The sequence below is a fragment of the Homo sapiens genome, chromosome 3, assembly GCF_000001405.40.
Source record: "Homo sapiens chromosome 3, GRCh38.p14 Primary Assembly".
In the NCBI taxonomy this organism is placed as follows: domain Eukaryota; kingdom Metazoa; phylum Chordata; class Mammalia; order Primates; family Hominidae; genus Homo; species Homo sapiens.
In genome coordinates, this window is record NC_000003.12 from 57,136,907 (window position 1) to 57,161,704 (window position 24,798).

General features: G+C 43.6%; 1 protein-coding gene and 1 long non-coding RNA gene across 6 annotated transcripts in view, besides 2 other annotated features; both read right to left on the bottom strand.

The window, feature by feature from the left end:
• IL17RD (interleukin 17 receptor D) overlaps positions 1 to 24,798 on the bottom strand; it is an 80,336-nt gene that overhangs the window by 46,925 nt on the left and 8,613 nt on the right. Inside the window, exon 2 of one of the 5 annotated variants that reach the window (XM_047448369.1) lies at positions 13,629 to 13,765. The exons of 3 other annotated variants lie outside the window; for them this stretch is intronic. The gene's annotated coding sequence lies outside the window, so the exon portion shown is untranslated. Of the gene's footprint in view, positions 1 to 5,546; positions 5,581 to 13,628; positions 13,766 to 24,798 lie in introns of those variants that run through there. One more of the 5 variants, XM_011533849.2, reaches the window with a different exon arrangement.
• LOC105377101 (uncharacterized) lies at positions 11,561 to 17,149 on the bottom strand. The gene is made up of 2 exons (XR_940865.3): positions 15,314 to 17,149; positions 11,561 to 13,590 (listed from the first exon to the last, which is right to left on the bottom strand). It is a non-coding gene; the product is annotated as an uncharacterized LOC105377101 (long non-coding RNA).
• Positions 22,013 to 22,698: an enhancer, noted in NCBI's record as "OCT4-NANOG-H3K27ac-H3K4me1 hESC enhancer chr3:57192947-57193632 (GRCh37/hg19 assembly coordinates)". NCBI's record gives its function as "activates a minimal SCP1, AML or CMV promoter by ChIP-STARR-seq in naive and primed H9 embryonic stem cells {active_cell/tissue: H9 hESC(naive and primed)}" and the evidence as "EXISTENCE:reporter gene assay evidence [ECO:0000049][PMID:30033119]".
• Positions 22,699 to 23,382: an enhancer, noted in NCBI's record as "OCT4-NANOG-H3K27ac-H3K4me1 hESC enhancer chr3:57193633-57194316 (GRCh37/hg19 assembly coordinates)". NCBI's record gives its function as "activates a minimal SCP1, AML or CMV promoter by ChIP-STARR-seq in naive and primed H9 embryonic stem cells {active_cell/tissue: H9 hESC(naive and primed)}" and the evidence as "EXISTENCE:reporter gene assay evidence [ECO:0000049][PMID:30033119]".

Below are 24,798 nucleotides of genomic sequence, written 5' to 3' on the forward strand. Positions count from 1 at the left end.
AGGTTACACTGCCTAGAATGAATGGGCTAAGTTATGCCACTGAGCTCTATGTGTAATAAGATTTCAGACAAGGGGTAATTGAACAGAGGAAGGCTAGCCAGAGAAGTGTCTTCAGAGGAGGCATGTCAAGCTTTGGGGTTGCGGAGGGGAAGGAAGTTTATTTCAAGCAAACACAGACCCAGGAGCTTGTGCTACCAACTGTACCACCCAGTGCCCAACACATGGTAAGCATTCAGGAAATGGTTGCTATTTCTCAGGGATGACACAGAGTCTTCCTGGTCATCCAGAATAAACACTTCCCACATCCCTGGAAGTGACCAACACACCCTCATTGCTTCTGTGTTAGACACCCCCAACTGGCCTGAAAAGATGGGCACCATAGGGCTGAAATAGCCAAGTGGGTTCAGCTTTGCATGTGGTACATCTTGGAGACAGGCAAGATCCAAATACAGTGGTCCTTACAGATGTGAGCACAAGCCTAGATTTGGCAGACAGAAGCACAGGGAAAAGGTCTCTGATACAGGCCAAGGTGGCAATGGGGTAGGTGGGGAGATGAGGAAGGAAGAAAGAGGCAATGAAACAGCAGCTTCAAAGGATGAATCCAAAGGACCCAAGAATTGAACAGATGGGATGAGTCAAACCCCAGGGCCTGGAGAGCAGAAGTGACACTTATAAAACAGAAGACTGGAGCTGGGGTCTCAAAACACATATCCATTTCAAGATGGAAATTGATTCCCTGCCCCTAATACAGATGGAAGGTATTTAAGAAGGAGGAAGGTGAGTCCTGGTCACCAGCCGCTTCCAATTTTCACTTCTCTTCCCTCCATGACAAAAAACTTTTGGTATTAGGTTAGTGCCACAGAGGCCTAAGTTGGGAGTCTCTAATCTTCCCCTGTTGCTCTTACACACCTTGACTTTCCTGTCTGTACTCAGAGTAAACCAGTGTCATGCTTCCAAACAGAGCTCATTAAATACTAAAGAGATAAGAAGACTCAAAGCAAAGGCCCTTTGTTAGCTTTTACCAAATCTTCATCAACTTCCCTACAGATCAAGACCACTAAAAACAATCTTTAAAAATTTGACATTGGCACAAAAGGACAGAAAGGACAATACTGTATGACTACATTTATATGCGGTATTTAGAGCAGTCAAATTCATAGAGACATGAATAGAGATAGCCAGGGGCTGCGGGGAGAGGAGAATGGGGAGTTATTGTTTAATGGTTATGGAATTTCCATTTAGGAAGGTGAAAAAGTTCTACAGGTGGATGGTGGTGATGGTTGCAAAACATTGTGAATTTACTTAAAAATCTTTGAACTGTACATTTAAAATGGTTAAAATGGTAAATTTTATGTTATGTGTATTTCAACACAATAAAGAAAAAAGTAAAAACAAAACAAACAAACAAAAAACATTAAAGGAAACTGAACCAGGAAAGGAATGATAACAACAAAACAGTGTTAGGGCCACATATGCAGGAAGAACTAGAGACTAGAGGGTGGAAGACTGGAGCGAGGTAGACCAGATAGCCAGCAACTGCAGCAGTCCACATATAACATGACAGGGACAGCAATGTACTGATGAGGATCAAAGGACAGGTCTGAGAGGCATTTTTAAGGAAAAAATAGCAGGACTTGGTGACAAATACAATACCGAGGTGATGATGAAATATTCAAAGGTGACCTGCAGGCTCTTATTTGGGGAAGTCGGAAGATAGTGATTTTAAGGCAATAACGAGAATACTGGGGGCCAGGTGCGGTGGCTCACACCTGTAATCCCAGCACTTTGGGATGCCAAGGCAGGCAGATCACCTGAGGTTGGGAGCTCGAGACCAGCCTGACCAACATGAAGAAACCCCATCTCTACTAAAAAAATACAAAAAATTAGCTGGGCATGGTGGTGCATGCCTGTAATCCCAGCTACTCAGGAGGCTGAGGCAGGAGAATAGCTTCAACCCGGGAGGCAGAGGTTGCAGTGAGCTGAGATTGCACCATTGCACTCCAGCCTGGGCAACAGGAGCAAAACTCCATCTCAAAAAAAAAAAAAAAAAAAAAAAGAGAACACTGGGGAAAGAGGGTCTTTTTTTAAAAAGTAGGCTGCAGAAAAACAGTGAAAGTGAGGTGCCTACTATCTTTTTACAATATCATATATTTTGGGGGGAGGGGAGAAATGCAGGATTAAAAGGCAGGACGTCATGTATGACGGCATGCCACAGAAACTTAAGGACAGATAGGCTAATTCATAAGAGGTATACAAAATTAACAGAAAGTGTAAAAAAATAACAAAAAGCCAGGAATTGGGCTTTGTGAGACTACCCATAGTTAGGGCACGCATGGAGGAAAAAGATTGAAAAAGTGAGTTTGGCAAAGTAGGAGAATGAAATACAGTCAAAATAAAGAATATTAAACAGGCTACGGGTAAAAGAATGTCAAGATGGATGTTTTCAACATGAAAACCATCTTTTTAAATGCTTTTTAAACTTTTTCCTTTGTTTAAATTTTTTATTTTGAATTTTTGTGTAATTTTGAACTGAATGTGAATTTGAGTGTGAATATTATATATACAAATATGTGTATATTATTTATGGGGTACATGCAATGAAAATTTCCTTTTTTTTTTTTTTTTGAGACGGGGTCTTGCTCTGTCTCCCAGGCTGTAGTGCAGTGGCATGATCTCAGCTCAATGCAGCCTCTGCCTCCTGGTTCCAGTGATTCTCCTGCCTCAGCCTCCTGGGTAGCTGGGAGTACAGGCACGTGCCACCACGCCAGGCTAATTTTTGTATTTTTAGTAGAGACAGGGTTTCACCATGTTGGCCAGGCTGGCCTTGAACTCCTGACCTCAGGTGATCCGCCCACCTCAGCCTTCCTCCAAAAGTGCTAGGATTACAGGTGTGAGCCACCTCGCCTGGCTGAAAACCTTTTTGATTACACAAATCTCTGAGCAAATAATTATACTGCTAGATCATTTAAAATAGCTCCTCTATATTAATTCCTAAGTTTTCTGCTGTTATTCAAACTCAACTCCTGGTTTTACAGGAAAAATAGAAAACATATTATTAGGACCATTTGAATCAAATGTTTTCATATGTTTAAAACTTAAAAAAAAAAATCTGGCCCTGGAAAAAAGTACTGAAAAGACTGCTAGTTCACTGTCAGGCTTCTGCATAAAGATACCGAGCCGGGCACCTTAGAGGCAAGGCTGTGCTCAGAGCTCACAATTCTGCCAGACAGCCCTCTAATCTCCCACATTATGGAGAAGAACACAGAGAACCCATGTCTTGATGTTCCCCAAGATCTGCTCAGCACTTTACAGTTTGAACCACTGTTAAAATATACCTTTTTGCAGTTTTTGAAACAATGCTACATGGAAAATGTAGAGACTACCCACACTGAACTACGAGCTCTAAATCAGGTCATTTTTTTTAACCAGATACTCCTAACCAACTGGTCTACGAGCTAGCATTTAGAATAACTGACAATTTCCCAGAACTCAAAGAGAAATAAAAGTTCAAAAGATTGGCTAGAATGGTATCAGTAGGACTCAAAGTTATCGAATTAGATTTCAATTCAGGCAAACCATTTTTGTTAAAAGCTCACAAAAATGGTGAATGTTTGCATGATGGCACTAATACAAGTATTAATTTTCAGACCATCCTGTTTTGGGCATTATTCAACATTTGCTGCCATTTGACAGATGTACATCCATAGCCCCGAAAGGCTTAGTGGGTCAGTTTTGGCATCATGGCTAACAACTTTCTTTCTCAAAAGTAGTGTAGAAAAGCTGAGGTGTGGTCATCTCTGAAATTTGATTGATCTCTGAGATGAGGTCTACTCTGGGAATATTACACCTCTAGAATTTATTTCCAGACACCCAGAACAGGTCTAGGGAAAGTAATATTCTAGGAAACAGTAACTATTACACTGGTTCAATGCTTATCACTAATGAACATTTATTATGCAGTAGCAGAGCTGTGACTGACCTTCACACTTTTTTTTTTTTTAATTGGAGACAAGGTCTCACTCTGTTGCCCAGGCTGGAGTACAGTGGTACAATCATGGCTCACTGCAGCCTCCAACTCCTGGGCTCAAACGATCCTCTGCCTCAGCCTTCTAAGTAGCTGGGAGAACTACAGGCGTGTACCATCATGCCTGGCTAATTTTTAAAAGTTCATTCTTTGTAGAGATGGGGTCTTGCTATGTTGCCCTGGCTGGGCTGAAACTCCTGGGCTCAAGCAATCCTCCTGCCTAAGCCTCCCAATGTGTCGGGATTACAGACGTGAGCCACAGCACCCAGCCGACCCTCATAACTTAACCACAGTATGCTGATGTTTTCCTGACAATATAACTTTAATTAAAAAACATAATTTTTGAGGGCATAAAAAAGAACTTCTATAACCACCGGTCTGAACAGAACCATGTCATCTTACAAGTTCCCCAAAATAGCAAATGTCTCTGTATTTCATCTTTAAAAGCTTGACACTGAGGACTTATTTTTCAGGGAATATGTAGCTATTTTTTGTATTGTTAGCAGTTTTCATTTCTGAGGGATGGAATAAACATTAAAATATTCTTTGTTCTCTAATGTATTGTTTGAATTAAAAATACTATATACAATTGAATATAATCCTGAGCAGAACAACTAGTGATTATTAAACATTAATTATTTGTCACTTCAGATTAGAAATTTTTGAAGGTCTATTTTTTGTACATTATCTGTATACACAAACTGCTAAATGTTATTAATATTTGTTATAATAAACATTTCTGGGAGGAAAAAAAAAGCTTGACACTCTAAGTTTCTTTTGCAATTCTCCCCATACTAGAACACCATGCCAACATCCTAATAAGACTGGTATTAATGAAAGATCAACTTCATTTTCTTGGCAACAATAGGCTTACAGAAGAATCACCTAAGAAAAAAACAAACACTATCTGATAAGGAAAAGATGGATTTTGTCTTCCACCGCAGGCCTTGGGCTCTCAGATCTGGAACACTGTTATCTGATTGTATCTGCACGGTTTTCACCAGAGGGCACTGCATGGTAGAGGAAGCAGAACAGAGGAACAAGGACCAAGAGCAGCCCCTGCCCCATTGCCTAAACGCTCTTATAGCCACAGGAAAAAAAAAATTCAAAAAGGGACACACGGAGCCTTCCTAACTCTCCCTTTCCCACTGACACCAAAAATAACCAACCATAAACTTTTAGCACCTCTCAAAGACTTCAAGAGAGGCATAAAGGGCAAAGCTTCGGACTAGCTAAAGGTTTTCAAATCAGTGCAATTCCTTTCTTTACTGTTTTATTAAACTATGCAAGCACAGTACTTATAAACAAAGGAATCATTTCAGTTTTTGCTTGGAAAAATGGGAGCCAATACATTCCTTCTGGGAATTCAGGGTAAAAGTTTTACAAAAACAGTGTCCAGATGTGCTTAAAAATTCACTCTGTTCTTTCTTTTGTGGAGAAGTGGAGGGAGAAACAAAGGGTAGGAGAGACATTTTATTAAAAATTGAAACACTTATTGGTTTTTCTTGGCTCACCCACTAACCTGCTCTCCACTGACAAACAACGCAGGAACACCTGAGGCAGAAGCGCGTGGCATCCCTCCCCCTCCAACCGCCCCGTCTGACCTCCCCCACTCCGGCCTCCTGGCAGGGAGATAGGGCCTGGCTGACCGCTGTGTTGGTGTCGCCAACCTGAGCCTCAGGAACTTCTCTAACTTCCAGAACGTCCTCATTGACAAATGGTTCCACCAGGTGGTGATGAAAAGTTGGGCGGGGCGGGGGGGAGGTTGGTGGGAGGGAAGAGGAGACTTTGAAGGCCAAAAATTCTCAACTGAGAATCAAGCATTTCTTTATGAAAACCACCACCCTGGGGATAAAGCTTCATTTAAAAAAAAAAACTTTAAACTGGAATGTTTTGTCAACATCGCATCCCAGTTTTAACCTGGAAGCTTTGCTGAGATTTGAAGCTTCCTCAACCCAATGATTTCATTCCCAGAGTCCTTTTTAACCACAGAGAGATTTAAATAATCTGTTATAAAGTTTCCCTTCATTTTCAGAGGGGTTGATGCTGGCTCTGAGTATTGAAGGTAAATGAGTGTTTCAAACGGAGCATAAATAAAGTAGACAGAGAATCAGGCATATATTATGAATAAAAAGATAATCCTAATAATAGTTTACATTATCACAAACCAAAGTTTATGTGAGCAGCTAAGCCCCCTTTCAAAGTAGAGAGCAGCTGCTGGTACGGCAGAGGAAAACGGTATGTCAAAAATTTGACCTACCTTAAAGTGTGTTTAACTCCGCTGTCAGCCACTGCTTCCTTCTGCCACCTTACACCAGGATGGAGGCAGGGGCAGTATCCTTTTTGAAGTATTTTGTTTGCACAGGCACAAAACTGTCTCAGTGCTGGAGGGACCTATCTCCACTCTACCTTGACAATCTCAACAAAGGCTACGACAATCTCAACAAAGGCTACGTCATTCTCATCAGTGATGAGGTAAAAACAGGGACTCCCTCAGAGGAGCCAGTCCTGAAGGTGCCCTGCTACTGCCTCCCTAGAGTGCAAGGAACATCTCCAGGGTCTACAGCCTCAGTCCCTGAAGGCTGCCAGTACCCCTATCAGAAGTAGGCAGGAGGCTGGGGAGCTGTGCTTACACACAAATCTGCCAAGTCACAAATCCCCTAGGCTTCATATGCACCCAAAAACGCTGGCCCCACATAAACCACTTTAATGCAAAGCCCTCAATGTGTGTGAGAGGAATATCTGTACTCAATAGGGTAATCCTGCCCTTCTTCATAGAGCTCCCAGGATGTGCAGAGTCCAGGGCCAGGCCCTAGGAAAATGAGTGCAATGTGCCTAGGGCAGTGATGTTCGGGTGGAAGAGACACACCCGGCTTTTCTGAGTGAAGGCGAGGGGGGCACCTTCTGGAAGTGGTCAGCTTCACGTTTCCAAATTAGAACACAGCGTTACAACTCAAGTCAATTATTTGGAATTAAATATTTCTGTACCTACAGGGGCAAGAGGCATATCAGAACTGTGGAAATAGTCCACACCATTGGTCTCATTTTTCAGTTTCCACAGATATTAGGCCCATTTCAAGATGTTCTCACCAGAAGCCAAGAGCTTTCTGCAAAGGTGGCTGAAGCTTCAATCAGCCCAGGGCAGAATGAGGGCAAAGAGCCCCTAGTAAACTGCTGCAGGTGGAGGCACTGGTTTCAACCACGGTCCCTTCCCAAAACAACTTGTCATCACTTCTGTCTAAGCTCAGTGTGCTTCCAGGGGGTGTGACCCCTGGAGATAAGGTATTTCATCAAGTCAGCCTTGTTGGTGCCCTCATACTCTAGGGCCTGTTATCACACACAGTTGCCCTTTTGGTCTCTGAATGAGTGACCTCTTCCCTAGCCGCTCACCATCTCTTCCTTTCCCTAGCCGTTCACCATCTCTTCCTCCTCTGGCTTGTGTCACAGACCCTGTGGAGGAGTCCATCTTCCTGACAGCCTATCAGGCATTCTTGGTTCCTCTCCTGCCCACGACAGGATGCCAGTGCAAGCTATAACCTTATCTTCTTAAAGCTTATCTCTGTTTTTATCTTCTCTGTCTCCCTGGTCCCTTTAAGTCCACCCACCCATGTACTCTAAGTCCAGGATCTTCACTCTGGTGTATTAAGGGTAGTCCCAAACTCACCCTTGTGGAGGGGAAGGAATTGCTTTTACAGGGCTCTTCCAGAAATGTTCTTATCATATCCAGGGATCATCCCAGAGGACCTACTAAAACAATGCCACGTCAACCAGGGCAGGTGGACAATCACTCAGGATAAGTTCTTGGACTGAGAGGGAAACCCACAGAACAGCAATGCCTGCATGAGAGGCAAGGACCTGTGGGTGGGGCGGGGCTCAGCCAGGGTCCTTCTCCCCACTCTCTTCAACCAGAGCTGCTGCACTCTTATCTGCTTCATGTTGGGGTTCCCAGGAAGGAGTCATTTTTAAAAACAGGTGAGGAAGGTGTAGGTGTGTGTGTATGTGTGTATCACTATTCTGACTTCCAGCTTTCCTGACAAGAAGACAGCTTGGTGTAAATGGGAGTAAAGAGGGTAAAAAATGAACGACTCAGTTCTGCAATTACCCATATGCAGATCAACTGTCAAACAAACTATTTCTGTATCTGTGACTGCCTTTCTTCTGCCCTCGCCAACACCTAGCACAGTACCCAAATCCTCTCCAACCCAGACAGTTGCTGACAGAAAGGCCTCTGGGACTGTCAACACCCCAGTGTGATTCAGAGCTCCCAGGGAGTCTGAGGCAGTCCCCTTGTTTATGGATTCACTGATTGATTGGGCCCTAAAAGCTCCTGGCCCAGAAGACTAAATGGGTTGTAATCAATCATTAACAATAGTGTTGATGTTAAAAATTGGGAGATGCACCGGGTCTTTGGCCATGTGGATAAGCTGGGTGATCACACATGAAATTGTGAAGGATGAAGGCAGATGGAGACGTGGGCACCCTCCATGTACGCAAGCAACACAGGCACATCAAAAGTGACCAGCAGAGCCGACAGGCCACATTTTGCAAAAATAAAGCTGTGTCTCAATTTAAAAAATAAAAACTATATGTAGGACAAATGCTTTTCTTGTATTAGAGAAAGATCTGCAACAATGGTCAGAGGTTGGGTGTTCTTTCCCAAGTGAGATGAAAAACAGACACCCAGGTGCAAGGGGCAAGTGTCTAGGTAGCAAAAGAGGTGGGCAACTCAATAAGGACACGGAGTGGGTAGGACAGGACAATTACACCCTCTGAATTAAAGGTTCAAATCACCTCAATAAAAATAATAGTTAAAATCTTGAGAATAATTCTAGTGTAACTGTCCCACTTTACAGGTAGTAAGGAAACTGACAGCCTTATGGGTCACCTGCCCTGTCCATAGTCACAAGCAGTCAGCCTGAGATGCTCTCATCACACATGTCACAGTGACCTCAATGAGACAGCCTAACCAGGGTGGCTTCTAGCCCAAGATCGGGATTTTTTTTAAACTCCAATAAAACAGAATTAATATATATTCTCTTTATGGGTAATGTGCGATCAATCCAAAGACTTTGGGGAAAGCGTGCGCGCACACACACACTCACGCGCGCGCGCGCGCACACACACACACACTGATGCATGCACGTGCACACACACACATACAAAGGAACAAAGGTTTGCTGGCTAAATTGGCAGTACAAATAGAATTTCCATGATAATATTCAGATTCAATTATTTTCATAATATGCTGGTAAGTCAGGAAGACTCACTAATCAATAATTCTTAGACTTACTAATCAATAATTATTTTAAATTCTTACTTTAAATTCTTATTTATTCACTTAAAACATCTTCCCTAACACTCTCTACTAAGCGACATTTCGCCCACACCTAGCTTTAATATTTCTAGACTTAAAGGCACTAAAACATACTCAGAAGGTAAATCACCAGGTGAAAGATTTAGTCCTTCTCTAAAAAATCCAAAATCAAACAAGTATAAGCTACCACCAAAATAACAAAGGTAAAGAAAAATTATACTTGGGGCTGGGCGCGGTGGCTCATGCCTGTAATCCCAGCACGTTGGAAGGCCAAGGTGGGCAGATCACCTGTGGTTGGGAGTTCGAGACCAGCCTGATCAACATGGAGAAACCCCATCTCTACTAAAAATACAAAATTAGCTGAGCGTGATGGTGCATGCCTGTAATCCCAGCTACTCAGGAGGCTGAAGCAGGAGAATCGCTTGAACCCAGGAGGCAGAGGTTGCGGTGAGCCAAGATTACGCCACTGCACTCCAGCCTGGGCAACAGAGTGAGACTGCATCTCAAAAAAAAAAAAAAAAGAAAGAAAAAAAATTATATAAACGTCAATATTTCGTGTGTGTGTGAGAGGTATTCTTTTTTTTTTTTTTTTTTTTAGATGGAGTCTCTGTCGCCCAGACTGGAGTGCAATGGCACAATCTTGACTCACTGCAACCTATCTATGCCTCCTGGGTTCAAGCAATTATCCTGCCTCAGCTTCCCGAGCAGCTGGGATTACAGGTGCCCAACAACCATGCCCGGCTAATTTTTTTTTTTTTTTTTTTGTATTTTTAGTAGAGACAGGGTTTCACCACATTGGCCAAGCTGGTCTCAAACTCCTGACCTCAGGTGATTCGTCCACCTTGGCCTCCCAAACTGATGGGATCATAGGCTTAACCCACCTGGCTGATAAATGTCAATATTATTAGGATGGAGAAGAATGAGTACATGTATACTGCTGATAAAAAGACTGCAGCCAGTCACTAAGCAGTTACCATGTGGCCAGGCACAGAGCTGGATGTTTTAAAAACAGTATCTTGCTTACATCTTAAAACAAACAACAACCCTGGGAGATGAACTATTAATAACACATTTTACAGATGAAGAAATAGCCTCAGGGAAAAATTTGCCCAAGGTCTCAATAAATGGTAGCAAATGGTGGAGCTGGGATTCGTGAAACAAACCTATTCTTTTCTCAAAACACAATTCCTCCCAGTAAACTGGTTCAGTCATTATACAGGACAAGCTGGTAAACATGTATGAAATGAGAGCCACAAATCCTTTGACCCAGTAATTCCACTTTGGGGAATAAATGCCAAGGAAATAAACCAAAACGGCAAGGGAGATGGGCAGGTAACCCATCTGTATGAAGATGTTCATAGCAGCTTTGTAACAGTAATAACTCGGAAACAGCCCAAATGCCTCATCAAATGTGGGGACAGGACTGGCAAAAAGGGGAGGGGAGCTTACTACATGAACATATCATATGGCCACTAAAAGTGACATGTCTGTGCACTACATCAATACATGGAAATATCTTTGGAAAACAAACATAAGTAAAAAATAACCATAAATAAATAAAACACAGTGATTATAGCAGCTATGCAACAAGATCTGTTTGTGTGTTCAAGGGTAGAAGAATCAGTATGTAATGGAGCTTAATACTCAGTAAGCTTCATTTTTCTTATAAGGTTGAAGTAACCAATTTGTAAAGGCAACACAAGGAAACTCTCCTTAGAGATGTTATGATCCATCCAGGATGTTCTCTTCCTGATCGAAAGAAGTCAAGTTTTCATATAAAAAATAAAGAATGTTGGGCACGGTGGCTCACACCTGTAATCCCAGCACTTTGGGAGGCCAAGGTTGGGGGGGGGGGGGGGGCGATCGCTAGGTCAAGAGTTCAAGACCAGCCTGACCAACACAGTGAAACCCCGTCTCTACTAATACAAAAATTAGCCAGGTGTGGTGGCGCACGCCTGTAATCTCAGCTACTCAGGAGGCTGAGGCAGGAGAATCGCTTGAACCCAGAAGGCAGAGGTTGCAGTGAGCCAAGATGGTGCCACTGCACTCCAGCCTGGGCAACAGAGCGAGACTCTATCTCAAAAAAAAAAAAAAAAGAAAAGAAAAAAGGAAAGAAGACCCACTAATTTTAAACCTACCTCCCCATTTTTACGCTTTCAAGTCAGTCCTATTTTTAAATCAGATTAACAAAACCTCCAGTTATAAGACCATAGCTCACGAAATTTTTTGTTACCCATTTAGCAAATTTATTTAAGAACACATATGTTTACAAATTGGAACATTCTTTCTGCCACCATTTGGTTTGTACTAATAAAAGTCCACACTCCCTGAATCTCATTCTTTTATAACACATTTGGAAAAGTAACACTAAGATAACATAAATCAATGGGGGTCGAGGAGGTGGGTTTAGGAGCGTCTGAACACAAGCCAAGGTAAAGGTCATGTGCTCAAAGCATAAAGCAGGAAGTTTATGCCTAATTGCCTTTTTTATATGCTCTCCTTCCCCAAAAAGGAATACAATATGCCCACACAGATTCTTCATCACACTCTGTCTAGGGAGGCAGGTGGGCCCAGTGAAGCCCAGAACATCCCCACCTCTCTGCACTGAGCTCACCTGGCCCCTCTGATGGCTTCCTGTATATCCTATCACTGCAGAAGAATGGGAGCATAATTCAAGAGCATCCCAACTAACCTCTGCACCTTTTAAAATGAACAAGGTTGGAAGGTTGGGGAAGGAAGTGGGCCAAAGATGGTGCTATCTTTGGAGAAGAAAAAGCAGATTCCTGGCCAGGCGTGGTGGCTCACGCCTGTAGTCCTAGCACTTTGGGAGGCCAAGGCGGGCCGATCATCTGAGGTCAGGAGTTCAAGACCAGCCTGGCCAACATGGTGAAAAATACAAAAATTAGCTGGGTGTGGTGGCACTTGTCTGTCATCCCAGCTACATGGGAGGCTGAGGCAGGAGAATCGCTTGAACCCAGGAGGTGGAAGTTGAAGTGAGCTGAAATCACGCCATTACATTCCAGCCTGGGTGACAAGAGCGAAACTCCATCTCAAAAAAAAAAAAAAAAGCCGATTCCTTCACTCGGCAGAATTGTCCTCTGCCTGGGCAGATCTCAGGTGAGTCTTCATCCCAAGGTTCCTTCTTCTCTGTACTTACCCATATTGGTAAGTCCTGTCCATGTTTCCATTTTACCCAATGTTTGGGATGACTTACTATTGTCCCTCGAGTATAAAGTACCACGGTGTGCATCCTGCACAGAGCCAAAGCTCCATGATATCACCATGTCTACCTTTGAGGGTGAGCTGTCCAATAGGGTAGCCTCTAGCCATGTGTGATGATTTAAATTTAAATTAAGTTTAAGTAAAATTAAACATTCAGTTCCTTAGTTGTGCTAGCCACATTTCAGGTACTCAGTAGCCAAAAGTGGTTGATGGTTACTGAATTGAACGGTGCTGGGAAGAACATTTTTTGTCACAGGAAGTTCTGTTGGATAGCACTGGGCTAAAGAGTTCAGCACCTGCCCACGCCTGCCTCTGCAATAACAGGTGACACTCTCTCATAGCTGGGCAGCTCTTCCCAGCTGTCACCAGGCACCACAGGCCATCTCAACTGACACCTAGATAACTCAGTTTCACCTGGGCAGCATATTTATTTTTATTTACACAGTACAATTGACAGTTTTTGGTGTATGGGTCCACAAGTTATATGCATATATATGTATGTATCCACTGCTATAATCAGTATACAGAACAGTCCCATCAACCCAAAAAATTCCCTTGTACTGCCCCTTGGTAGTCAAGCCCTCCCTCCATCCCTCCAAAACCCTGGCAATCACTAATCTGGCAGCTTTTTTAAAAACTCAGATTCCTGGCCTTCCCCTGGAAATCCCACTTAAGCAGGTCTGGGGTGAGGCCCGGAATCTCCCCCCACTCCAAGAATGCTCCTCAGGTGATTCTGGTGTTCAGCCAGGTTTGGGAATCTTTGGGGTAATTGCCTAATCTGAGTTTAATTTAATTATCTCCAAAGTGCTGTCTAGTCTCGCCTCTTTCCACCCCCCATTAGTTGCTTTGTTGCACATGGCAGCCGTCCATCTGAGACAGGGTGCTTGGAAGGCAGGGCAAGCCCGACTGCTGGGGGCATGGGCAGGGTAAGAACTCTGCAGCTCCGGTTTCTGGCAGAGAGAGGCCTCTCCGAGTCACAAGGATTCTCATCTTAATCCCTTCCTGGCTCTTTGTGCCATGGAATCCTCATCTGGAAAAAAGGGAACCACATCAGAAATAATTGTCTACCTCCGAGGCTTGCTGGGAAGTGATGACTTAGGTAACATGTTCAAAGGCTGGGCAGTCAGGACGAAAGGTACACTGTCCCGGATATGTCATCGCCTCACCAGATTTCCTCTGGATGGAACTCTCCTCACCCTCTTTACCTGATGGATGTGAGAGATCGGGACTCAAATTACAATAAAATTGCAGACTTTTTGAAAATAAACAAAAACTCAAAATATTTTTTCCTCCTAAATTCATGATCCCAAGGGTGAGGTACCAAATTCCATTTTTAAAGAGGAATTCAGAAGAGTCAGCATCTTCTCAGAAAACCTCCTCTGCTCAGAAAGTAAACAATTACGAAGGGGGCCAAAACTTGAGTTTAGCCATTCTCCTCTGGCTTGCTCCTGCTCTGCTGAGGATTCCTGGAAAACACTTTGAAAAGTTTAAGATGATCAAAGAAAAGGCATGGCCAACACAAGAAATGCTATCATTTAATATCACATGTTTATTTAGCCCCTCCAAGCCAAAGAGGGAAGATTGTTTGAAAGGGAGAGAATGCCTGCTTAATCAACTAAAAATGCATTCATTACTATGCTATTCACTGCGGCTTTCCTGAAATCAGACACTTTTGCCCCTAGACCATAAGATTGAAGCGATTTGAAATGAAAATATTTCCTGTCCACTGCTTGCCAGTTTCTAGCCCCAGAGTGATATAACAGATGACATCCAGTACAATAAATGCTTTTATTAACCATAAATTTGAGACTGCTTTAGGGATTTGAAGTGTTGGGTTTCATGCTGAAAAAATGTAATGTTATCCACAGACCATCAGTGAGTAACAAAAACAGAGGCACAGGTTATGCTACTTTGATCAAATTATGGCAAAAAATTGTCTTTTGCATTTAAAATAGTAGTTGCATTCAGGGCATATCTTCAAGGAGCACCACAATAATTTAATCATATGTCTTGGAGAGTTTCATGGAAATTCATCCTGAGTGCAAATTTATAGAACCAGCAGCTTCTGTTAAACAGATAGGAAGCTCAAAAGTGTTATGAGGCTAAGAGGGCTGAGAAATCAAAATACTAAGATGGGACCCCTAAATCAGGGTTTCTCAGTCTCAGCGCTATTTACATTTTAGGCCAGGTAATTTTTTGTCATGGAGGACTGACTTGTGCATTTCAAGATGTTTAGCAACATCCCTGAGCCCTTCCCATTGACTGCCAGGAGCAGCCTACCCCAGCTGTGACAACCAAAAATGTCTCCAGAAATTCCCCAAATCAAGGTTAAGGCTGCAAGTAAGCTGTGATCACACCACTGCACTCAAGCCTGGTTGATAGAGACCCTGTCTCAAAACAAACAAACAAACAAAAAAGAAATCCCCCAAATTCCCCCAATCAAAAACCACTGCTCTAAATCAAAGTCTAGGCTTGTTTAGCAAATGCTGCCTATGTTTGCTTCATCCGAAGGAAATGTCAGAGCCTGGGGAGCTGCGCAGACTCAGTACTGTGCCCCCAGTGCCTCCTTCTACACAAAAATGGTTAACCCTGAGTGATTTCTGAAATCAAAAGCACCTTGCACTCCCTCTTCCACAAAACTAAAGGTAGCATAGCCATAGAAACAAGAACTCTCTCGGCTGTGACCAGAGCAAACGAGACCAAGCAAAGGCAAGCTGCCCCCCGCCCCCGACCAAAGCATACCCTCACCCGACCTTTGTGTCCAGCATGCATTCCAGCCCAGGAGCTCCGGCCCGCTGGGCAGAGGCTGCACACCATTCCTGCCAGCATCTAAATCGCTGCTTTCTGGCCTTTCACTGTCAGGCCACAGAGGGGACTGTGGACTTGGTGCCAGAAAAGAAAATGAAAAGCAAAGTTGAATCTCTGCGGACCATTCTCTGGATGCTGAATGTCCCACTATTACATCTCGGCATGACATTTCATGGCCAGCAGGGGAGGAGGCCCAGTCCTGAAAGCTGAACAAACGCCCGGCACACAGGCCTGCCTGCGCCCTCGTAGTCTCTCTGGACTTATGAATAAAAGATGGAGGTTTTGTCTCTGTTGTTTCCCTGGTACCCTGTAAGAATAACAACTTGTTGCTTTTTGACATTTTAACTTACTTTGAAAAATGACCAATATTAACTTTACATGTCTTGGCCCTTAAATCTGGAGTGGGGTAAAATGAAAGAAACAAAAGCCATGTAATTAGGTAGAAGATAATAATTCAAGTTAAACTAATGAAACTGTCTGTAACGGACTCTAATAAAATAATGTAGGTAACATGCAATCACAGAACTAAAAGGCTAGAAACTGACTTGGAGGATACGTTTTTAGTAAAGTAGCCTTTACTGGAAATAAAGTTCAATGTTTTCTTAGCACAAAGGAAAGAAATGGCTGAATTTTGGTGTGAGGAAGCAGTCAACCGTAAACCTGCCCCGGCCAAACACAGGTCTTTAATAGGAACTCATTCCCCGTCTCTGAGGGCGACATCTATAACTGCAACAAGCCCATGTGAATAGCAAAAGCCTTGAGCATTCTTGAGAAATAGCACTCCTCATTTTGAGACAGTGTGGTTGATTTCAAATAATCTTTAAGGAAAAAGTTTATTACAGGATAGCACAAATGACATCCTGCATTTCCTTAGACTCTCAATAAAGTAAAAGGGAAGGCTTAATGTGAAACACTGCATTTTTAAAAAGACAACACAAGACTAAACTGGGTACTACTATTAGCACAGATCTCTAAATACAACAATTTCACACAGAAAAAACAAATTTTTCTTATTGCTAAAACTGCATCTACATTTGTTACCAGTTGATATGTAAAATCCAACAAAGTCACAATATCACCTTTAGAGGGGTCTTGTCAAAATATTTGAACCTATTCATGAGGAAACAATCAAAAATCCAAATTGTGTACACAAGTGGCCTTGACTCTTCAGAATGTGTAGGCTATAAAGGACCGAAAAATAGGTAGAGGAACTGTTCTGTATTAAAGGAGGCTAAAGAGACAGGACATCAAAAAGCAATGAGTGACCCTTCTCTGCCCCCTAGAATGTGATGCAGAAAGAAATTATGAATGACATTAAAAGGACAAGTGAGGTAAGTGTAGCAAAACGTTATGAATTGGTAACTTTAGACAAAGGGGAAATGGGTGTTCATTTTACTGTTATTTCAATTCTTCTACAGATTCGAAAATTTTCAGAATACAAAGGATGGGAGAAAGAGCACAATAATGGGGAATCCCCATGTGGGGCTGTAAGGGACTCTAATATACAGGTGACTGTATTTTATACATTATATACATACATTTTACACACTATATACATTTATATTTACATTTTATATATTATATATACCTGTATTTTGTACAGGTGACTAGCTGCCTGCTTGAGGGGTTGGGGGGTTGGGATGGCAACAACTTCATCTTCCTGTATCGTTTCAGAAAACGTATGCTCTAGGCAGGGCATGGTGGCTCATGTCTGTAATCCCAGCACTTTGCGAGGCCAAGGCAGGAGGACTGCTTGAGGCCAGGAGTTCGAGACTAGCCTGAGTAACACAGTGAAACTCTGTCTTAACAAAAAAAAAGTAAAAAAATAGCCAAGCTTGGCGGCACACGCCTGTGGTCCCAGCTACTCAGGAGACTGGGCCAGGAGGATTGCTGGAGCCCAGGAGTTCAAGGCTGCAACGAGCTATAATTGCATGACTGCACTTCGGCCTGAGTGACAGAGTGAGACCTTGTCTCAAAAAAAAAAATTATATATATATATATATATATATACACACACACACACACACATACATACACGTCATAAATCCATTTAAAATCTCCTATATGCCTTTCCCTAAAACTCTTCTCCAGCAATTTACCATTCTCACTCTCCTTTTTAGAACTCTTTAAAAGTTCGCTGGCCTGCTGCCCCCATTATCTACCCCCATCCTTTTTTAATGAGATAAAAGCAATGATTACACTAGTCTTGATCAACTCGAAAACTCTGTACTTTTAAAAATGTGTGACCCTTTAAGTAAAATAAGAAAGCTCAGTAGATGGGAAATGTGCTCAAGTGAAAAGATGTGGGAGGTAGAATTTGTCTCTCAATGACTTCAAAACCCAAGGAGGAGAACAATGAGAGGCGGCCTGTCCATAGCAGCACTATAGGGGCAGGTGACAGTCACCTTGGGCATGCCAGCACTGGGAACTCATAGCTCCAGAGGCCCTGAAGCAGTCTTCCGCCAGCACAACCAGATGTTACATTTTTTCTGCTTAATTTTGGTAAAACTCCATGACGTCCTTCTCAAATTAAAAAGGCAATGCCATTTTTTTTTGTAAGCCACAGGAGCTATCTTTAGTGAAGCCTTCTAAGGATTTCATTAATTCATAGCCAGCCAACCAGGACTTTTCCCACAGTCTCCCACAAAAAAGCCCGGGAAGTCACTGATTGCTTGGCTGGATCTGAATATGAGCAGAGGTAAGATCAGAAATATCTAGTTCCTCCCACGGGGAGGCAAGGCATGAAAATCAAAGCCGGGCAAAAACTCATTTCCACAGCTGGCCGGCAAATCCGCAGCCCCGGAAAGAAGGCAAAGAGCACCTCTGATTATGGACAGACCTTCAAGTGGCTTCAGAAAATGAAATGCATTCACCACCAGAGGGGAACGAAGCAAACAAAAACGAGACCTGCACCTCTGTTAAGAAGACAAAGTTTCATACAAACTGAGGGCTGCTGCCAGGGAGTGAGATTTGTTCCGTTCACATCGTTTCAGAAAGTCCAAAACCGGGATGCTTAGTTAGTGCTTAGCAGTAACTTTTCACATTTTTCTCATCCACAGCACAGGGTAAAGTAGACAGTCCAAGCAACCCCCTCAAGCAACAGACACTCGGCCAGGTGTGGCTCCCACACAACACCAGCCCACACTCTCCCTGTCATGAGTGGGAACCTGGCTTGAAGCCCAGCCTCTAACCAGTATGTGGCCCCTGGCAGGAGTGCCAATAACTGTGGTGTGAATGAATAAATTAAGCATATTTTTTATGCTACTCTCAGCACTAACTGCCACATGATTAGCCAATGTTAAGAAAGCAATTTCAGAGGAAATTTTTTTTTTTTGAGACGGAGTCTCGCTGTGTTGCCCAGGCTGGAGTACAATGGCACGATCTTGGCTCACTGCAACCTCCGCCTCCTGGGTTCAAGTGATTCTCCAGCCTCAGTCTCCTGAGTAGCTAGGATTACAGGTGCACATCACCATACCCAGCTAATTTATGTATTTTTAGTAGAGACAGGGTTTCACCATGTTGGCCAGGCTGGTCTTGAACTCCTGACCTCAGGTGATCCGCCTGCCTTGGCCTCCCAAAATGCTGGGATTACAGGTATGAGCCACCACTCCTTGCCCAGAGGAACTTTTTATTACAGTTGCTTGACTGACATGTCACCTCCTCAGAGAGGCCATTGGAGAGTGTCTACTTGCAAACACCCATTGCTCTTATTGCCTCATTTTAATTTCCTGTAGAGTGCTTAGTCATTTAAGAAACATGTATGGAGAACCTACTATGTGCCAGGCACTGTTCTCGTGATGCAGAAGGGAACAAAACAGGTAAAGACCCCACCCACATGGAGCTGACACTGCAACGGGGAAGAAGGATGGACAAAGAAAATACTATGTATGTCCCAAGGTGAAAAGTTCGGCAGAGAAAAAGTGAAGAAAAGAGGACAGTGAGCAGCAAGTTGCTATTGGAAAGAGCATGGTCAGGTCTGATACTTCATTATCCTATTTGTCTCCCCTACTAAAACCTAAGCTCTGGCCAGGCATGGTGGCTCATGTCTGTAAACCCAAGTGGGCAGATCGCTTGAGGCCAGGAATTCAAGACCAGCCTGGGCAACATAATAAAACCCCATCTCTACAAAAAATGTAAAAAATTAGCCAGACTTGGTGGCACGTGCCTGTAGTCCCAGCTACTCGGGAGGCTGAGGTAGGAGAATTGCCTAAGCCTAGGAGTTCAAGACTGCAATAAGCTATGATCACGCCACTGCTGCACTCCAGCCTGGGTGACAGAGACCCTGTCTCTGGAAATAAAATAAAATCTAAGCTCTAGAAATCAGACCTAACACACAGAACACACCAATATTCACTCAATGAATGAATGGCCACTGAGTGTCCCTCTTATCAAACCGTTCACCTGTTGGAGAAATCTTCCAAGCCTCACCACTTCTGACAGAACATACACAGGCAAACTTCAAGGTGCCCTGTTATCTAGTACCTATATCTTCAACCTTACCATCCCCCGACCAATGAGCCCCCTTCTCCAGCTTTGCCCACATCTTACTTTCTGCCCAAACTGTCCCCCCAGCGCCTGGGTCCACTCACTGGTCAGGCCCTGCTCAAAGTCCCTTTGGTAAGACCTGTCTTCTTCATCTAAGCCTCCCACGAACCATTGAAATTCAATTTCTTCCTATAAAAACATCAAATTTGTTTGTTTCTCAATGCATCACTGCAATGTTTGGACACATTCTCATGAAATCTGGAGGGATGATGGGGTCGGCCAGGCTTTGTGGCACATGGGAAAGCTAGAGAGTGGTATGGAGAAGCCTCACAGAGAAAAGGGGGCCTCCTCCAAAGCAGGGGAAACTGAGGCAGAGCAAAAAGCCAGAGATACTGGGAACCAACTGAGACATGGGCTAAAAAGCCAGAGTTCTAAGGTGGCCTCAAGCAGGGCCTCAGGCAGTTGAATGTCAACAAACTGCTTTTCACGGGGGCAGTTCTAGGATGAGGAGCAGCAGAAGCCCGTTCAAGTTTCTCTGGAATGAGTAGGGAAGTGTGGAGAGAGGACGGGGAGTGCTCGGTACTGTGGCCCCAGAATCTCTTCCTGAATTTCCCTGTTGTCCAGGCCCCTACTCCTTTGTCTTGCTCCTGGCCCAGACAGGCAGCCACTGTGGACGGGGGACTGGTCCCACAACCTAACACAGGGTGGCTGCTCAAAAAAAGGGTCTCCTGCCTCCTCACTCCAAATAAGTCTTTTTGAGCTTCAGATACTGAACAGTTACAATAAATCCTAACCGTGTGAGTGCCTGTGCTGCACCCAGAGCAAATGTGCACACTCCAGAGGAAGGGGCCATAAACCGTCACTCAACAGAGACCACGCTCAGGCGGCGGACTGCTGCTACATTTGGTCCATACTGCACTGCATTTTCCTCAGATAAAAGGGGGCCGTTTTGGGAGAGAAGAAACCAGAAATCACCCGGACAGAATAAAATCACAGGGAAAGGGTTTCTAAACCATATGGCCTATCTCAGGAAAACACACCTCTTCGTTCCAAGGAAGCCCTCCCTTTATCCCATTAACCCTCCCACTCTCGAGTAAAACAGTCCATCGCAGCACAGAAGTCTGGGGACACTGCCAGCATTTTTTAAAGGGTTACTATTCAATGGGGGGAAAAGATCTACAAAAATGACCAAACAGAACACTTGGAAAAACTCCTAGTTTTGAAGGCAATAAAGTACTTTTTACATCTGAAAAAAAGTTGTATTTAAGGCCTAATCCCTCATGATTTCAAAAGGATTCATATGAAGTATTCATTTAATGTGTGAAATGTAAATATCCATCCAAACATTTTAATTAATGCTACCAATTTCCATTCCGTTTTCAAAGTTGATACTTGAATTTTATATGGCTTTTCTGGTACGTTCAAGCATGCTTCCCTACCATGTAGTAGTTTTAATGAAAAGCCTCATGATTAACGTCTATTAGATCAGGTATGGAATGAAGAAAGGTACAATAAAATTACAATTTACTAAGCTTCCAATAATACTTGCCATCTACTGCCCTTTCAAGTCTTAAGGTACCAGCCATATGCAAATAAGACATTTTAGCATTAGTTTTACCATAAAATGAATGCTTCTTAAATAAGCACAGTAGAGGTAGTTTTCATTTACACTATTAAATCAGAAAATTTATGAGCCCATTTCCGTTTTAGAAGAGAATTACATGTGTGTTCACATCACATCTTTATTTTGTCGTCCACCCAGTGATTTGTTGAGGACAGCTGGTACCTATTAAGTCCCCCCCTTTAAATGTTGTAGCCTTAATTAGCTACATCCACCTTCCCCCAACATTTCCAAACAAGGAACCAAAGAAAAGGGAATCCATTTTTATCATGGATACTTTGAACAATGGAGTTGCAAACATCAATGTTAACAGTCTCTATTAGAAACTAGTTATTCGTTTTTTAGGCCACTTCACAAAAACATGGTACAAATGGAGTTTTTGTTATGTAGGTAATTTTTTAAATTGTTCAATTTTTAGTTTCCTGCCTGGTGTTATTAATTAAAAGCCTTCTTTTAATATATTGTTTGGGAAAGGATGAAGGAGTCTCCCCAGAGATATTCTTGGTATTATTTAAGCTACAGACTTCTTTCTTACTTGGACTTTTCAGCATATGACTGAACAGGTAGAATCTGCAAATAGAGAAAGCAGCAGGGTGTGGTTTTCTATGAACAGACAACATGCCCTTCCCAGACACCAAAGGGTTTCCAACTCACACAATGAGAAATTGTTGATTGGATTGCTTTAACCTGCCATATATAGATAAAACACACACTGACTTAATTTACAATGTCGATATCTCTTCTTTTTTTTTTTTTTTAAAGACACATTTACATTTATGCACTCAGGACTTCAAGTGTGAATTCTGTTCAACAGACTAAATTCTGAGCAAGATAATGGGCCATCTCAAAGATTCCCCCCTTGGATTTGTTTCTTCAAGACTGGCCCTAGCTTTAATCTGCAGTAAGACTATCTGTTTCAATAGGATGTGATCACTTGAGGGCTTGTGTCTTTTCAATCAGCCGGTGGCCCTGCCGGGTTTAGAGTGGCAGAGGGGAAGTGGCCTGTGGTTAAACAGAGGAAATACCAAGGCATTTTAATAGAGCAAATAGTCTCTTTACTTCCCACCGGGAAGAGCTTCAAAGGCTGTGGGCCCCGGAGGAGACAATGTGTTTCGGAGGCCATCAGTCACCTAATCGTGTGTCAGGCCCATTCAGAACATCCAAGCAGCCAAGACAAACACTGCCCAGGAGGACAATGCCTCCCACTGGCTGGGCAAGTCTGGCTGGCTGGAGATGGGGCCTGTAGCTCCAGCACAGACAGCCCCCCGGCTGACTGAGGGCAGGAGCTCTCCAAATTTGGGAGTAGATGGGAAATGGAAAAGGTCTGGCTGCCAGGGCAGGGTGGCCAGAGAGAGGTCTGCTCTAAGGCCACTGCACCTCTCAACCTGTCAAGCTCCCTGATAGCTGAGCCCTCTCCTCACCCCACATTCTTACAAATCAAGGGTGGAGGCTCAAGTTCTAGAAGCCTAAAAACCCATCCATCAGAAGCAGGCTGAAGAGGCAGTGGGGGGCCAGGCACGGTGGCTCACGCCTGTAATCCCAGCACTTTGGGAGGCCAAGGTGGACAGATCATCTGAGATCAGGAGTTCGAGACCAGCCTGGCCAACATGGTGAAACCCTGTCTCTACTAAAAATACAAAAATTAGCTGGGTGTGGTGGTGGACGCCTGTAATCCCAACTACTCGGGAGGCTGAGGCAGGAGAATCGCTTAAACCTGGGAGGCGGAGATTGCAGTGAGCTGAGATCATGCCAATGCACTCCAGCCTGGGCTCCAGAGCGAAACTCCGTCTCAAAAAAAGAGGCAGCGGGGAATGAAGGAGGACAATAAAATTGTTGATGGGGTAGCCCCAGCAGGAGCAGACACCTGCTGGGGCACAGTATATAAAAAGTTCAGGGACAGAGGAAGAAAAAGCCTTGAAAGCTTTAAAAAAGAAAAAAAAAACATGTTTTAGGCCAAATGAAGCATGAAAAATACTTAAAAGCACTAGCAGTTCTTTCCTTTGTTGGGAAGTTGTAAGATTTGAACTGCTGAGAATCTGATTTGGATCCTGTGCTACTCCTTCCTGAGACTGTTTTCAGACAAACCCAGCTGTTCTAGGGAGGAACTCAGGGGAAGTGTCAAGTCCTCTTCACTCCAGGCCTCCTCATCTGCCCCAGGCCAGAGGCACCCATCCAAACTAGCTTCTCCCCCGCCCCGCTTCCCTGCTCCTCCCATCCTCACACTCCCCACCCAGCCTGACCCCTTTTATCGGTCAGGGCTCTGAGAAAGTCTTCACATTCTTCTCTAAGGCCAGTGACATAATTTAAAGCCAAACTCTGATTTTAAATGTTTAGAATGTGTGTTCTCCCCTTCTTTGGATTGTGGGACCCCTGTCCCCTAAAACAATAGGTCTCATCCTGGTTACAGCATGCGTATCCTCAAAAGAATTTGTTAAAATGCCAATTCCTGGGCTCCACCTCACTCTCACTCTGATCCCATTAGCTTTCAATCTGCATTTTAACAAGCTCCTGAGGCAATTCTGATACTGGAAGGCCCAGGGTGTCACTTGGAGAAAAAGTTAACTGCTGGTCTCCTGGTCACGGAGCTATATGCCCAAGTTAATAACTAGCACAATGCCCCAGGCACTGCAGGGGCTTGGGGTTGGGTGGATGGCTGAGGTTGGGGAGAGAAGGGAGGGCTGCTCAAGAAAGATGGACATGGGCCAGAAGAGTTCCCAATTAACTAGGCAAAACAGGCTGGAAGAAAGCTTTGCACTGCTTATAAAAACGTCTCTCTAAAAAATGTATCAACCAGGACTGAGTAATTTTTTAACCAAGAATTCTGTAACAGACACAAGAGCATCTGTAACATGGACAACATGGCCATACGATAGGCAGACCAGATGTGGGCTTAGGAGCCATGAGCTGCAAGTGAATGAAAATGCATCCAATTCAGAATCAAATAAACATGTCTGGGCCCACAGCCAAGGATAATTCTTGGATTGGACTTTTATCAGGAACCTAAATTTTAACCAGCTGGAACTTCTCTTTTCCAAGTACCACCCTATTCCTTCCTACCTTTTGTGATGAAGTATTTGCCTTAAATGGGAAACTTGCATTTCATTGTAAAGATGATGCCAGCATCCTGGCTTCCCGAATTCCTGAAGGAGTAGTGTTTTCTTGCAGGGGGAGTAGGAATTATGTTCCAGGGATAATAGACCAGAGAAGGTGGACCCCATTTAGGTAAGGAGGCAAGAAATGTTCCCTCCTCCCCCACTGCAGGAAAAGCCACTAAATACAAACCTGTGGGAGTAGATTCCTAACTCCTTGTTCCATAAAAAGGCT